General features: G+C 35.7%; 1 long non-coding RNA gene across 1 annotated transcript in view; it reads left to right on the forward strand.

Moving 5' to 3' along the window:
- Window positions 1–4,247: 4,247 nt before the first annotated feature.
- LINC00989 (long intergenic non-protein coding RNA 989) overlaps window positions 4,248–15,881 on the forward strand; it is an 83,868-nt gene continuing 72,234 nt past the window's right edge. Inside the window, exons 1-2 of the long non-coding RNA NR_038826.1 lie at window positions 4,248–4,429; window positions 4,807–5,240. This is a non-coding gene — a long non-coding RNA (long intergenic non-protein coding RNA 989). The remainder of the gene's footprint in view (window positions 4,430–4,806; window positions 5,241–15,881) is intronic.

Genomic DNA, 15,881 nt, shown 5'->3' on the forward strand with positions numbered 1-15,881 from the left:
GTTAAATAGGGTGTCCTTTCCCTACTTTATGTTTTTGTTTGCTTTGTTGAAGATCAGTTTGCTGTAACTATTTGACTGTATTTCTGAGATTTCTATTCTATTCCATTGGTCTATGTGCCTATTTTTATACCAGTACCATACTGTTTTGGTGGCTATAACCTTGTAATATTATTTGAAGTCAAGTCATATGATACCTCCAGATTTGTTCTTTTTGCTTAGTCTTGCTTTGGTCGTGCAGACTCTCTTTTGGTTTCATATAAATTTTAGATATGTTTTTTCTAGTTCTGTGAAGAATGATGATGATATTTCAATGGAAATTACATTGAATTTGTAGTTTGCTTTTGGCAGTATGGTCATTTTCACAATATTGATTTTACATATCCATGTGCATGGGATGTGTTTCCATTTGTGTCATCTATGATATCTTTCAGCAGTGTTTTGTAGTTTTCCTTGTAGAAGTCTTTCACCACCTTGGTTAGGTATATCCCTAAGTATTTTATTTATTTTGCAGCTATTGTAAAATGGGTTGAGTTCTTGATTTGATTCTGAGCTTGGTCGCTGTTGGTGTATAGCAGTGCTACCAATTTGTGTACATTGATTTTGTATCCTGAAACTTTACTTAATTTGTTTATCAGGTCTAGGAGCTTTTTGGATGAGTCTTTAGGGTTTTCTAGGTATATGATCATATCATCAGCAAAAAGTGACAGATTGACTTCCTCTTTGCTGATTTGGATGCCTTTATTTCTTTCTCTTTTCTGATTGCTCTGGCTAGGACTTCCCATCCTCTGTAGAATAGAAGTGGTGAGAGTGGGCATCCTTGTCTTCCTCCAGTTCTCAGGGGAAATACTTTCAACTTTTCCCCAATCAGTATAACATGGCTATACGTTTGTCATAGATGACTTTTATTACCTTAAGGTATGTCCCTTCTATGTCAGTTTTGCTGTGGGTTTTAATCATAAAGGAATGCTGGATTTTGTCAAATGCTTTTTATTTTTCTGTTGAGATGATCTTACGATTTTTGTTTTTAATTGTGTTTATGTGATGTATCACATTTATTGACTTGCAGATGTTAAACCATCCCTGCATCCCTGGTATGAAACCCACTTGATCATGGTGGATTATCTTTTTGATATGCTGTTGGATTTGGTTAGCTTGTATTTTGTTGAGAATTTTTGCATCTATGTTTGTCAGGAATATCGGTCTGTAGTTTTTTGGTTGTTGTTGTTATGTTCTTTTCTGGTTTTGGTATTAGCGTGATACTGGCTTCATAGAATGATTCAGGGAGGCTTTCCTCTTTCTCTGGCTTTTGGAATAGTTTCAATAGGATTTGTACCAATTCTTCTTTAAATGTCTGATGGAAATCAGCTGTGATTCCATCTGTTCCTGGACTTTTTTTTTTGTTGTTGGCAATGTTTTTTTGTAACCATTTTAATCTTGCTGCTTGTTGTTTGTCTGTTCAGAGTATTTCTTCCTGGTTTAATCTTGGAGGTTTGCATATTTCCAGGAATTTATCCATCTCCTCTAGGTTTTCTAGTTTGTGTGTGTAAAGGTATTCATAGAAGACTTGAATGATCTTTTGTATTTCTGTGTTATTGGATTTAATATATCCCGTTATGTTTCTGGTTGAGCTTATTTGGATCTCCTCCCATTTTTTCTTGGTTATTCTTGCTAATGGTCTATCAATTTTGTTTATATTTTCAAAGAATCAGCTTTTTGTTTTATTTATCTTTTGTATTTTTTTGTTTCAATTTCATTTAGTTCTGCTCTGATCTTTGTTATTTCTTTTTTTTTTTTTTTTTTCTGCTGGGTTTGGGTTTGGTTTGATCTTATTTCTCTGGTTCCTTGAAGTGTGACCTTAGACTATCTATATGTGTTCTTTCAGACTTTTTGATGTAGGCATTTAATGCTATGAACCTTCCTTTTAACATCGCTTTTGCTGTATCACAGAAGTTTTCATAGGTTGTGTTATTGCTATCATTCAGTTCAAGTAATTTTGAAATTTCCATTATAATTTCATTGTTTACCAAAATATAATTCAGGAGCAGATTATTTTATTTCAATGTATTTGCATGGTTTGAGGATTCCTTTTGGAGTTGATTTTTAATTTTATTCCACTGTGGTCTGAGAGCATATTAATATAATTTTGATTTTCTTAAATTTATTGAGGCTTGTTTTGTGCCTATCATATGATCTACCTTGGAGAATGTTCCATGTGCTGATGAATAGAACATATATTCTGCAGTTGTTTGGTAGAATGTTCTGAATATATCTGCTAAGTCCATTTGTTCTAGGGCATAGTTTAAGTCCATTGTCTGACTTGTTTTTGATGACCTGTCTAGTGCTGTCAGTGGAGTATTGAAGTCACCCACTATTATTGTGTTGCCTCTTATCTCATTTCTTAATTCTAGGAGTAATTGTTTTGTAAATTTAAAGCTCCAGTTTTAGGTGCATATGTATTGAGGATTGTAATATTTTCCTGTTGGACTAGTCCTTTTATTATTCTATAATGTCCCTCTTTGTCTTTTTAAATTGTTGTTGCTTTAAAGTTGGTTTTGTCTGATAAACGAATAGCTACTTCTGCTTGTTTTTGGTGTCCATTTGCATGGAATATCTTTTTCCATCCATTTACCTTACATTTATATGGGTCTGTATGTGTTAGGTGAGTCTCTTGAAGACGCAGATACTTGACTGGTGAATTCTTATCCATTCTGTCATTTTGTATCTTTTAAGTGGAGCATTTAGGCCTTTTACATTCGATGTTATTATTGAGATGTGAGGTACTGTTCTATTCATCCTGCTAGTTGTTGCCTGACTACCTTGTTTTTTTTTTTGTTTGTTTGTTTTTGTTTGTTTTTTATTGCTGGTGAGCTTGTGTGATCATTTGGGGTGTCAATGAATCTTGCTTTGTCATATCATCAGAATTGTTTTTCTGGTTCCTTCTCATTTGGGTAGACTATTTCAGAGGAAAGATCTGGGACTCAAGGGCTGCTAATCTGATTTTTTTTTCCTATGGGGTGATCCCTTGATGTGGTGTTCTTTTTCTTCCCCTAGAAATGGAGCTTCCTGAGAATAAAACTGCAGTGATTGTTATTGTTCTTCTGTGTCTAGTCCCCCAGTGGAGCTACTGGGCTCTGGGCTGGTATTGGGGAGTGTCTGCAAAGATTTCTGTGATGTGATCCTGTGAAGACCTGTCTTCAGGTCTCTCAGCTGTGGATGCCAGTACCTGCCCCAGTGGAGGTAGCAGGGAAGCAAAGTGGACTCTGTGAGAGTGCTGGTTGTAGTTTGTTTAGTGTGCAGATTTTCTCGAATGCTGGTTTGCTAGCAGTGAAGCTGTCATGTGGACAGACTCAGGACCTCTGGTTAGCCAGGGTGTTACAGGTGGTGTTTTCTCCTTTCTTGGAGTAGGATTGTTCTAAGTTGCTGTAATGGCTTGAGTTGGTTGACTTCCAGCCAGGAGGTGGCACTTTTAAGAGAGCATCAGCTGCGGTAGTAGAAGGGGGATACAGGCTTGCCCTAAGTTGGCCAGGGTAAATATTCAGTCGTCTCAGGTAATAGGTGAGGCCATAGAGCTCCCACAAGTTTATATCTTTTGTCTCTGGTTACCAGGAAGGGTAGAGAAAACCATCAGGTGGGGGCAGGGTTAGGCAGGTCTCAGCCTAGACTCTCCTTGGGCTTGCAGTGGCCACTTTGAGGGATATGGGGTGTGTCTCAGGCCAATGGAGTTATGTTCCATGGGAGATTATGGCTGCCTCTGCTGCTTCCTACAGGTTGCCAGGTAAGTGGTGGAAAGCCATCAGTGACAGGCCTTACCCAGCTCCCATGAAACCAGCAAGGCCAGTCTCATTCCTGCCATACTCCCCCAGCAGCCAACAGTGCCCAATTTATACCCAGGCCTCTGGTGCACAGGGCTGAGATCCTGCCCCAGGCTACAAGACTCCCTGCTGAGAGAGCAAGCATGGCTTTCAGTCCTCACCCTTCCCTTCCTGTTGCGGCTTCTGTGCTCCTATCTGTACTTCCCGTTCCCCACACCCCAACCCCCTGGACTCTGCCCAGGAAAATTTGTCGTCTTTGGAAATTATTACAAAGTTCAGCTGGAAGTCTCCTTCTCCCTGTGGACCTTCCCCAATTCCACTGGCTGCCCTCCTCAAGGACCCCTGTGAGATAAATTCAGAAATGGCTATCCTTGGCTTCCCTGGGGAACAAGAGTGCCTGCAGTTCTTTTCCCACTTCTTTTACTTTTCTATTTCACTGGGCTCTCTAAATTCATTTCAGCTCTAGGTAAGGTTAAACTCTTCTCCCGTCTTCTGGATTTTCAGGTTCTCCAGGGCCGATGTATGTTTGGAGATGGATTTCCCCCTCTCACACTTCAGGCACTCAGTTTTTTGGCAGTCTCATGGAGTTTTCAGTGGCAAGCCGCTTATTTCAAATGGTCTGTGAATTCTTTTGGTTTTTCTGATATGTTCCTGGTGTGATTCTTCACCAATTTTATCTCGAATTATATTTTATTCTACATTATGATTGCTATTATTTCCTTATTTTTCTTTGTATTTATGATATATTTCTGCCATTTAAAAAATTTCTTACTACTTCTCTGACATTTGACTTTTGGTCTTTTTCTATTAAGTAAAGATTTTAAAATAATGTTTTAATTTGAGAAACTTTAGTTTTTAATTGAACTACTAAAACGTTTTACACTAATTATATTATTCTTTCTGATCTTGTCAGAGATTCTCTATTTTGCTCACCTATTTCTTTTCTAGCTGATGTTTATTATATTGACTATATTATTATTATTTTTTCTTTTAGGGATTTGGAAAGGATTCCGTGATGGTTAATATTGAGTGTCAACTTGATTGGATTGAAGGATGCAAAGTATTGTTCCTGGGTGTGTCTGTGAGGGTGTCACCAAAGGAGATGAACATTTGAATCAGTGAGCTGGGAGACACAAACCCATACTCAATCTTGGGGGACACCATCTAATCAGCTGCCAGTGCAACTAGGATAAAATCAGGCAGAGAAATTTGGAAAGACTAGACTGGCTGAGTCTTCTGGCCTTCATCTTTCTCCCATGCTAGATGCTTCCTGACCTCGAATATCAGACTCCAAGTTCTTTAGCTTTTGGACTCTTGGACCTTTGGCCACAGACGGAAGGCTGCACTTTTGAAGTTTTGGGACTTGGACTGGCTTCCTTGCTCCTCAGCTTACAGATGGCCTATTGTGGGACTTCACCTTGTGATTGTGTAAGTCAATACTCCTTAATAAACTCTGCTTTATATATATATCTATCCTATTAGTCCTGTCCCTCTAGAGAACCCTGACTAATACAGATACACAGAAAGTTCAATTTTCTAAATTTTAAGCATTTTAAAACTTACTTGGGTCTATTTTTCTCTCATCATCTATGAACAGAGTAAAACAGTAACTATTATCATTCACATCCCTCCAGCTCAGATGCTACATTTGGCATAATTTTCACATTACTATTTTTCCTTCACACTGTTTTGCTGATATAATCTCAGATTTCAGATCCAGGTTATTATTAATTATTAGCTTAATATTTTGTATTTTTATCTTGTAAGTACTACATTTGAAATTTTAAAGCTAATCACTCTATAGAGCTAAGAATTCTATTTGCTGAGTTATTTATATTTATTTCTTAGTTGACTTAAGTGACTAGTCAAATAGTTTTTTTCACAAAGAATTTTATATGACATTGCCTCTCAGTCTAGTGTATCTAAAAACAACTTTCTGTCGCTCTAGCATATAAATATGAGCTTTTCTAACTAAAATGCCTTGGATCTCAATCTTTTCTGCCCAAAGCTCTGTAAACCTTTGTTTTTCTTAGCATTTAATATTGCAAATAAAGTCTGATCTACAGACATTCTGTTTTTTTGTTCCTTTATGGTTCATGGGATTATTTCATACGACAGAAATGTATTCTGAGGGGTACTGGAATATATCACTTCAAAATAAGCCTCTTTGGAATACAATTTTTTTTTATTTTTATTTTTTTTTGTTAAAGGCCACTGAGAAAACTTCTGCCTATTTGTCTCTAATTAATCTGTCTTTGGCTAGTCTAATTCACAGGGCCTCTGCTGGAGAACCTAAGATGAGTAGAGGAAATGATTTGTTGTTTTCCTCTCCTGAAATACCTAACTGTGGGTGTTTATATTAGCAATGATTTTTATCTTCACATTTTTTTCCTGATCTTAGATTGTTTCTTCCATAACATTACACTCCTCATATTAATCTTTTTCAAGGGAATGATAGAGAAATTTATCACAACAGCTGTTTATTTTATTCACTAGCTCAGGCAAAAAGAGCTCGTCCAGGCTCTCTGATTGTCTTGACCATCACCAGACAGATAAGGTGCCCTAAGTTTTGGAGTGGAAGGGTCACTGTAAGCTACCCGCCTACTTTCCATAAGTGCTGATGTTCCACAGGTAGGACAAAAGTGAGTTGGTCCTTTAGGCTTCCATCAAATCTTCGACATGGGCACAGATGCTCCTTGACTTACAATGGGGTAACATCTGGATGAATCCATCATAGGTCAAAAGTATCATTAGTCTAAACGCATTTAATACACCGATAAACCCATCTTAAAGTCAAAAAACCATAAGTCAAACCATCGTAAGTTGGGACCAGTCTATGTAGGATCTAGCAGATTATTTTAACTTTCTATATGTGGATGATATTCTTCACAGTTTCCAGAGCTGATGCAAACTTCCTGTTGTTTTGATATTTGGTCAGCCATTTCCAGCTACAAATATGGGAACTCGGGAGGATCTGTGCTCTAATCTTCAGTCTACCATACTCCCAGCACTTTAGGGGTCTTAAGTCTGATAAAGTTTTGAAAAGGAAAGAGAAAAGCTGCATTCTGTGCTCCTGAGACAGGGAAGCCCAGCGGAAATAAAATATCCAGGATGTGGAGCGGGCGAGATTGTGCACCATTAGTATGTAAAGCCTTGATTCAGATGGATGGTTAGGAGTACAGTGCCAATGAGAGAGAAAGAGAGAGAGAGAGAGAGAGAGAGAGAGAGAGAGAGACACCTCTGTTTGGACCGGGCATCTTTGCTGTTTGAAAGAAACCTTTCATCCAGACAGTTTGAGTCTGATCTTACCTCATTCTACTGGTGAGCTGTACTATGTCTTGCACAGTGCTGCCTCCCTTTTTTTCTGTGGCTCTTTGACACCCCCACCTCCCTGCCAGCCTGGTGTGGCTGATCAAGCTGTTCAAACAACTGGAAGACATCAGAAGTTAAACACTCATTATTTTAATTTGATGCTAATCATGTGTTAATGAGACTAATCCTTGCAATGATTCAGGTAATTTGCTTAATGGCTGCCCAGAGTACAGATTATAGCAATCAGTCACGTCTGATAAGATGTCTGTTGTGGAGGAGGCTGTCAGGTGAATGAAGTGGGAAAAGGCTCAGGAGTAAGGGTCTGATGTCAGGCATGTTCTGTGTTGGAGGGTAGGAGTTAAGGGAAGGAGACAGCTCAGAAATCCAAATTTTCAATGAGAAATGAACATCCTAGTGTTCTTGTTTAGAAGGAAGAAGTTGGTGTTGACAGGCTTTCTCATCTTATAGTGACACATACACACTGAGATAAGCATGACAGTTTGAAGAGAGTTGGATATACAGTTCATTTTGTTCTGGAGAAATCAGTACAATTATTAGTAGACATATTCCTACAACTATTAAATTGAGTTAAAAATCTTTTTTGCTATCAAAATGTCAAAGAAAAGATGAAACCACTCAGAGCAAAGGAAGATACATTTTTTTCTTCTCATCTTAGGAAATAGATGCTAAAATCAACATTCTAAACTGAAGCATTATTATGTTTATAGTATACTCAAGCATTGTAAGTCTATAGTCAGTCCTTCATATCCATGGGTTTTGTATCCATGTTTTCCATCAATCATGCCTTTGAAAATGTCAGAAAAAAAAGTACACCAGTAAAACTAACACAAAACAAAAAATGATACAGTATAGCAACTATTCACATAGCATTTACATTGTATTACATTTTATGAATAACCTGGAGATAATTTAAATTATAGGGGACAATGTGAGTTGGTTATATGCAAATACAATGCCATTTTATATAAGGTACTTAAGCATCACTGGTTTTTGTAATCTGCAGGGGCAGCGCAGGGTAGGACAGATGTCCTGGGACAATCCCTCACAGATACTGAGGGACAACTGAAGATACAGTCTCTGATGTGCTTAAACTAATCAGTTAGTCCTATGTTGGAGGCATGCCACCGTCTACAACTTTGCTGGATTGAATCATGATATATTTTTCAATAAAATATTGAAACTCAATAAATTATAAAATGTACAGATATAGAAATAACAAAACACTTCTAGAGTACATGTTCAAAAATTCTGCCGATTATTTGCTTTGCTTTAATTTATTTGTACTGATAGAAAATTTAAAATTTTATAGATTTATAAATCTAGATATCTGAATTGTTTCATTCCCATTCAGTATTTTGGTGAGGAGAGAAAAGTGAAAAAAAGGAGATAGATTCAGGCATGAAAAAGATTTGTAGTTTATTTTATGTTTAACTTAGTTGTTTTGATACATTCATGATACCCTCTTCTATCTTCTGTGGAATGCAATTTAGTTCAATGTAACAACATTTCTGTAGTATATCTTATCTTCAAGGAGGTGTTATTTAGTTTCTTTTGTTTCTTTATTTGTTTTGTGTTTTACAAAACAAGGGACAAGCATCTTTCTTGGGAGCAAAGAATGTGCCCATCTTATGACAGTGAGGGTAGGAATGGACAGGGAAGGAAAAATTGGAGTCAGCTGTTTGAGGACTAGATGTTCAGCTGCTCTAACTCAGAATGTGAATTTACAATAAGGATGTAGAGGAGATACCGTAACATGAGCATAGTATTTTGGATTGACATCAACAGGAGGATTACACATATGGGAGGGATCATAGCATCTAGGACATTTATAGATACAATTATATGTGAGCATTAGTCCTGTGAACCCAAGTTAACAGTTTTCCTTTTTCACCCTAGTTAAGAAGTTATTTTATCACCATAAAAGGCTTTCATGCACTATTTCATGCTACATAAGTGCAAATAAAATGCACTTGTATCAGTGACAATGATATGGATGAGACTGGTTTCATTTTTAAGAATCAAGATGATTGTTTTATAAGCATGTACCATAAAAAGAACAACCTGTGGTATGCTCTAGAATTTGAGAAGCTAATGCTTTTAAGGCAGGCAGACCATTGTTTTGGTAGCAGTTGTTTTTGTTATTATTTTTATCATTAATTATTATTATCAATCCCATTTTATCTAACAAAAGAGAATGGCTTATTTGGCTTGCTAATGATAAAATAATCTGCACAGAAGCAGGAGGTAAACCTCTCGAAACACTGAACTTTTACTGCATGGCTTCCTTATAGCACATTGCCTCTTCCATTAAGCTGAGGCAAGAAATATATAGAGGAAATGAAGTGAAAAATGCTAAACATCTGTATTTATGTAAGACAATAGAGTTAGAAGAGGATAAGATGATGCTTACATTGCTTCATGTATTGGAAAACTACTTATATAGTCATGATATAAGTGTTTTAGTACATTCAGGTTGCTATACAAAATATCATAAACTATATGGCTTATAAACAACAGAAATTTATTTCTTACACTTCTGGAGGGTAGGAAGTGCAATATGAGGGTGCCAACGTGGTCAAGTTCTGGTGAGGGCCCTCTTCCAGGTTGCAGACTACCAACTTCTCACTGTGTCCTCACAGGATGAAAGGAGCAAACTAGCTTACACTAATCCCATTCACAAGAGTTCTGCTTTCATGCCCCAGTCACCTCTAGAAGGCTCTAACTTCTTAAAGTTATCACATTGGGGATTAGGTTTCAGCATATGAATTTTGGGATGGAAAGGGCACAAAGGTTCAGGCTATAGCAGTAAGTTAGTTTTATTTACACAAACTATATCAAATACAGGTACCTCTTTAAACTGATCCTGGCTCTCTTTTCTCTGTAGTAACACAGTGTATCTTGGCATAATTGTTTTCATTCTTCCCTTTTATTTGAACTTTCGTGTCCTTCAGAAGTTAAGCTAAATGGAAAAATCCTTGAGAAGATACTTAAACTAGCCTACCAATTGTAGGGTATTTGGCCTCTGCTGTTGAAATCACTTTAGACATCTGTGTTTGTTTTTAGGAGGACTTTGACATAATACTTGTTAAGATATTGTGAAATTATACATTCTTTTTAGAAGTTATGCAGTTTGTAGGAGCATATTTTACAAGATTGTAAAATCTCATAATTATTTCATATCTGTGACAAATAACACAAATTATTGTTTTTTTCTTCATATCATCTTCCATGAAATTTAACGGACAGTGCAGTTTCACTTTAACACTAGGTTTTCAGAGTATTAGGATTTATCCAAACACTAAGTTGATTGAGAAAATGTCTCTTTGCCTCATCTATATTGCTAGGCTCTTGAAATTCTAAAGTGTGTTATTTTGCTTAAGTTAGGAATATATTACAAATGATATAAGAAATTTAGAAAATATTAGGAGGAAGAAAAGTTTTAGCCCCAGGTAAAGGGATAATTTTCTGTTTTGCTTTATTTGTGGCAACTTGGTCGGACTTATTTTTATTTCTAATTTTCAGGTTAAATATCAAATATTAAAATATTACTAAAATTATCGCCATTTCAAGACAAAATAATATGAATACATTATTGATATAAATAAATTAATGTGAATTTCTCACTTGCAATTATTGCATTTGCATCTATTTTGATTAATGTATCATGACCAAAATGATTTTTAGATTTTACCATCAAAACAATTTGGTAAAGGGATTCATACTCCTTTAGTAACTTAAAACCGACAAGAAAAAAAGGTGTTCAGTACTTGCTTTTTAAAAATAGCCTCCAATATAATAGATTTAATTTTTCCTATTCCTCTCACTAAATAAACAAAAACCCTGGAAATTATTTGCAAAACAAATAGAAGACTTTGAAATGTGGAGAAAGGAAGGCAGAGCAGTTAGGGACTTTGAGTCCCAAGGAAGTACATGGTGGTAAGTTTCATGTGAATGTATGTATGTAGGTAGGTATTTATTGCCTCGTATATCCTAGACTTGGACCTGAAGTAAACAGCAATCAAGAAACACAAATGGTACAAGACAAACAACAACAACAACAACAAAAACAACAAAGAAAAAACACCCAGCTCCAACAAAAGCCTTCTCTCTTTAGTTAATCCTGAAAAGGTGCTTAGCAGGATAACAAAAGTGTTTGAGAGAAAAGCTACTGTACTTCAGCTAAACACCATAGAAAAATCTGTGGCCCCACTCCACCCATACTAGCAAAGATCACATGGGGACCCTACACGGTCATTTTTGCCAAGATAAAACAAGTTACCCCAATTTTCTTGCTGGGGTGGTATAAGAGAAGGCTGAGTAGGAAGCCTATAATTTTGCTCTAATTTAACAGCAATGAGATGCTCATTCCCCCACTGACTTTCTCTACTGCCCGGCAGTAAGAAGGCAATCTCACTATCACTCCCATGTCTGGCCATCTGGGGAACAGTAGTGAGGCTCTCCTACCTCTCCCAGCCAGAGAAGTAACAGTGAAGGCTTAGTAGGATGTCAAACTCCCACCACCACCCAACGGCCAAAAGGGCTCCACCATTCCTTGTGTGCCAGTGAAGGCTGAGTGAGGAACCTGGACTTCTAACCCCATCTGGAAGTAATGAGGCAATCCCCTTCGCCTCTTCTCTTGCTGGAGTGGCATCAGAGAAAGCCAGCTAAAACAGAAAGTCTAAATAAAATATACAGTCTCATAACATATATCTAAAATGTCCAAGTTTCATTACAAAATTGTGAATCATACCAAGAACCAGAAAAATCTCAACTTAAATGTAATAAAAAATTAATAGACTCCAAAACCAAATGCTAGAGATCTCACAATTATCTAGCAAAAATTTTGAAGCAGTCACAATAAAAAAAAATCTTTAACAAGGAATTATGAACACACTTGAAGCAAATAAAATAAATGGAAATTCTCAATAAGGAAATAGAAGATATAAAGAAGAACTAGGTAAAAAATTTAGTGTTGAAAAATACAATAACCCAAATAAAAACATAAGTGGACTCAATAACAGAATAAAAGGATCAGAGGAAAGACTCATTGTACTTGAGGAAAGAACATTAGAACAACAGAAATGACCTGATGTGAATCACAGAGAAAAGAAGCTAAACAAAATAAAAAGAGCCTCAGAGTTCTGTGGAATTATAACAAGACATCTAAAATTTATGTAATCAGAGTCCTAGAAGGGGAGAAAAAAGTGGGTGGAATGGAACAAGTATTCAAAAATAACAGCTGAAAATTTTCCATATTTTGGGTAAAGATATGTACTTAAAGATTAAGAGGCTGAGTGTAACTTAAACAGGATAAATCTCTGAATAACTCCTATCAAGGCATATCATAAACAAATAGTTAAAAACTTAAGACAAGAACTAAAAATCTTGAAAGCATCAAGATCAAAATGTCACCTTATAGGGGAAAAAAACTAAAAAACTGACATTACAATGGTGTTCGCTTCAGAACCTGTGACAGAGGAAGTGGCACAACATTTCCATGTTTGTGTGCTGAAAGAAAAGAAAAGAAAATTCTATATTCTGTGAAAATATCTGCCAGAAACTGAAGAGAAATGAAAACATATTCAGGTAAAGGAAAACTACGAGTGTGTGACCACTAGGCTTGTGGTAAAAGTATGACTAGAGAAATCAATCAATCGATCAATCGATCAATCAATCATCTATCTATAGAATATTTATACAATATATACATATAATATATATATAGCATATATATACTACCTGGAGAAAACAGTAAAAAAGCTATACAAAGAGATTCATTCAAGTGGCATATAGATAAAATAAAAATAGAGTTTTAAAAAACTTCCAGTTTACCCTCAAAAAGGCAAGAAAAAGAAGAGAGTAACATTTTAAAAGAAACAGAAAGAACAACAGAATGAAAAATAAGATGCCAGACTTAAGCCTTAACATATAAATAATTACTTTAAATAGAAATAGTCTCAATATAACAATTAAAAGGTAGAGATTGGCAGAGTGAATTAAAAATACGAATCAACAATATGCTGCCTACATGAAACTCACTGCAAACATAACAGGATAGATAAGTTGAAAGTGAAGTAATGGAAAAAATCTGTATCATGTAATATGGTTTGGCTCTGTATCCCCACTCAAATTTCGTGTTCAACTGTAATCCACAGTTTTGGAGGTGGGGCCTGGTGGGTGGTGATTGGATCATGGGGGCACCTTCTGATGGTTTAGCATCATCCCCCTTGGTGTTGACGTGGCAAGAGGGAGTTACCAAGAGATCTGGTGATTGAAAAGTATGTAGCCTCCCCTTCTCGCTCTTCTCCCTGTCCTGGCCCCCTGTAAAGATGCCTGCTCCCACTTTGCCTTCTGCCATGAGTAAAGGTTTCCTGAGGCTTCCCCAGAAACCACTATGCCTCCTGCACAGCCTGCAGAACTGTGAGGCAATTAAACCTCTTTTTTAAATAAATTACCCAGTTTCAGGTATTTATAGCAATGAGAGAACAGACTAATACATCATGCAAACCTTAATCAAAATAAGGCAGGAATATTTCTATTTATTATAAGATAAAATGGACATAGCTGCAAAGAAAATTACCAGACACAGAAAGGGAGATTGCATAATGATAAAGAGGATCAACTTATCAAGAAGGTGTAGCAATTTTAAATGTATATAAACCAAACAATGGAGCTGCAAAATATGTGAAGCAAAAAAACTGCAGCTAAAATTACACTTTATAGTAAAAGACTGAATGCTTTCCCCAAGTCTATTAATAAGTGGGACTTATCTGCTGCCACCACTCTTATTCAGCATAGTATGGAAAGTTTTAACCACTGCAGGAAGGAAACAAAAGGAGAAGGAGTCATACAGATTAGAAAGAAATAAATAAAACTGTGCTTATTTGCAGATAGCATGGTCTATGTAGAAAATACAAAGTAATGTACAAAAAATTTCTAGAATTAATAAATGAGTTAAGCAAGATTGTAGAATACTAAGTTAACTTACAAAAATCAAATTTCTGTTTGCAATAGACGTCAGTACAGTAAAATTAAAAATACAGTTTTCTTTACAATTGCTCAAAAAATGAAATATTTTGGTGTAACTCTAACCAAAGATATGAAAGACTTGTATGCTAAAAATTTCATATCTCCTCCAATTGATATGCAGATTTAATGCTATTTCTATCAAAACATAACAATACTTTTATAGATATAGGTAAGATTATTTCAAAATTTATATGAAAAATGAAGAAACTAGAGTAGCCATAACAATTTAGAAAAAGTAGAATAAAATGGGAGAAAGCAGTCTACTTGATTTCAAGACTTATATGGCTACAGTAATCAAGACTGTGTGGTATTAGCAGAGGGATAGACACATAGAACAGTGGAACAGAATACAGAACCCAAAATATAGATCTATATAAATAAATGCAACTGATTTTTAACAAAATTGTAAAAGAAATACAATAGAAGAAAGATAGAGTCTCAACAAATCCATCAACAAAGATAGAGTCTCAACAAATAGTACTGGAGCTATTTAAAATCTCCAGCAAAAAAGAAAAAAAAAACTTCAATTTAAACCTCATCTGTAAACTGAAATAACTCAAAATAGATTATGGATTTAAATATAAAATGTAAAACTACAAAACTTAAAACAAAGTCTTTGGGATCTGGGGCTATGCAAAGAGTTACAATCTGCAAACTAAGAGAAAGATTTGCAAATCACAAATCTCCCAAGAATCTAGTATCTATCCTATGTCTAGAACATATAAAGAAATCTCAAAACTCAAAATTAAGAAAATAAACAATCCATTTAGAAAGGGGGCAAAAGACATGAACAGGCATTTTTCCAAATACTATAAAGTTGAAAAATAATTACTTGAAAATATGTTTAACACCATTAGCTGTTAGGGAAGTGCAAATTAAAACCACAAGAAGATATCCCTACACACCTATTAAAACGTCTAAAACAAAAAATTGTAACAACACCAGATGCTGGTGAGGATGCAGAGAAACTAGGATCATTCATACTTACTTGCATAAATGTAAAGTGGACAACCACTCTGGAAAATGGTATGGCAGTTTCTTTAAAAACTAAACGTGCAATTATCATAAAACCCAGCAATTGTACTCCTAGACATTTATTCCAGAAAAATGTAAACTTAGATTCACGTGAAAATCTGCACATTAGTAGTGTTCATAGCAACATTACTTATAATAGGAAAAAATTTGGAACCACCTAGATGTCCTTCAATGGAAGAATGACTAAACTATGGTACGTCCATACCGTAGTGGTCTACTCAACAATGAACAGGAAAATGCTCCGGATACATGCCACAACCTGGTAAATCTCTAGAGAATTATGCTGAGTGAAAATAAGTTGATTCCAGTTACATACTTTGTGATTTCATTTATATAATATTTTTGAAATGATCAAGTTGTAGAAATTGAGAAGATTATTAGTGGTTACTAGGGATTAAAGAGGGGGTGGAGTGAGTGGAAGAAAAGTGGGTATGAATATAAAAGTGCAACATGAAGAATCCTTGTGGCGACGGAAGTTTCTGTATTTCTACCACATCAATGTCAGTATCCCAGTTGTGATATTGTATTATAATTTTGCAAGATATTGCCTTTGGGAAAACCTGGAGAAATATGGATGAGATTCCTCGAAATTATTTCTTGCAACTCTGTATGAATCTACAATCGTCATAAAACAAGTAGGTGTGGAAAAAAGCCACCCCCCAAAAGATCTCA

The sequence above is a fragment of the Homo sapiens genome, chromosome 4, assembly GCF_000001405.40.
Source record: "Homo sapiens chromosome 4, GRCh38.p14 Primary Assembly".
In the NCBI taxonomy this organism is placed as follows: Eukaryota; Metazoa; Chordata; class Mammalia; order Primates; family Hominidae; genus Homo; species Homo sapiens.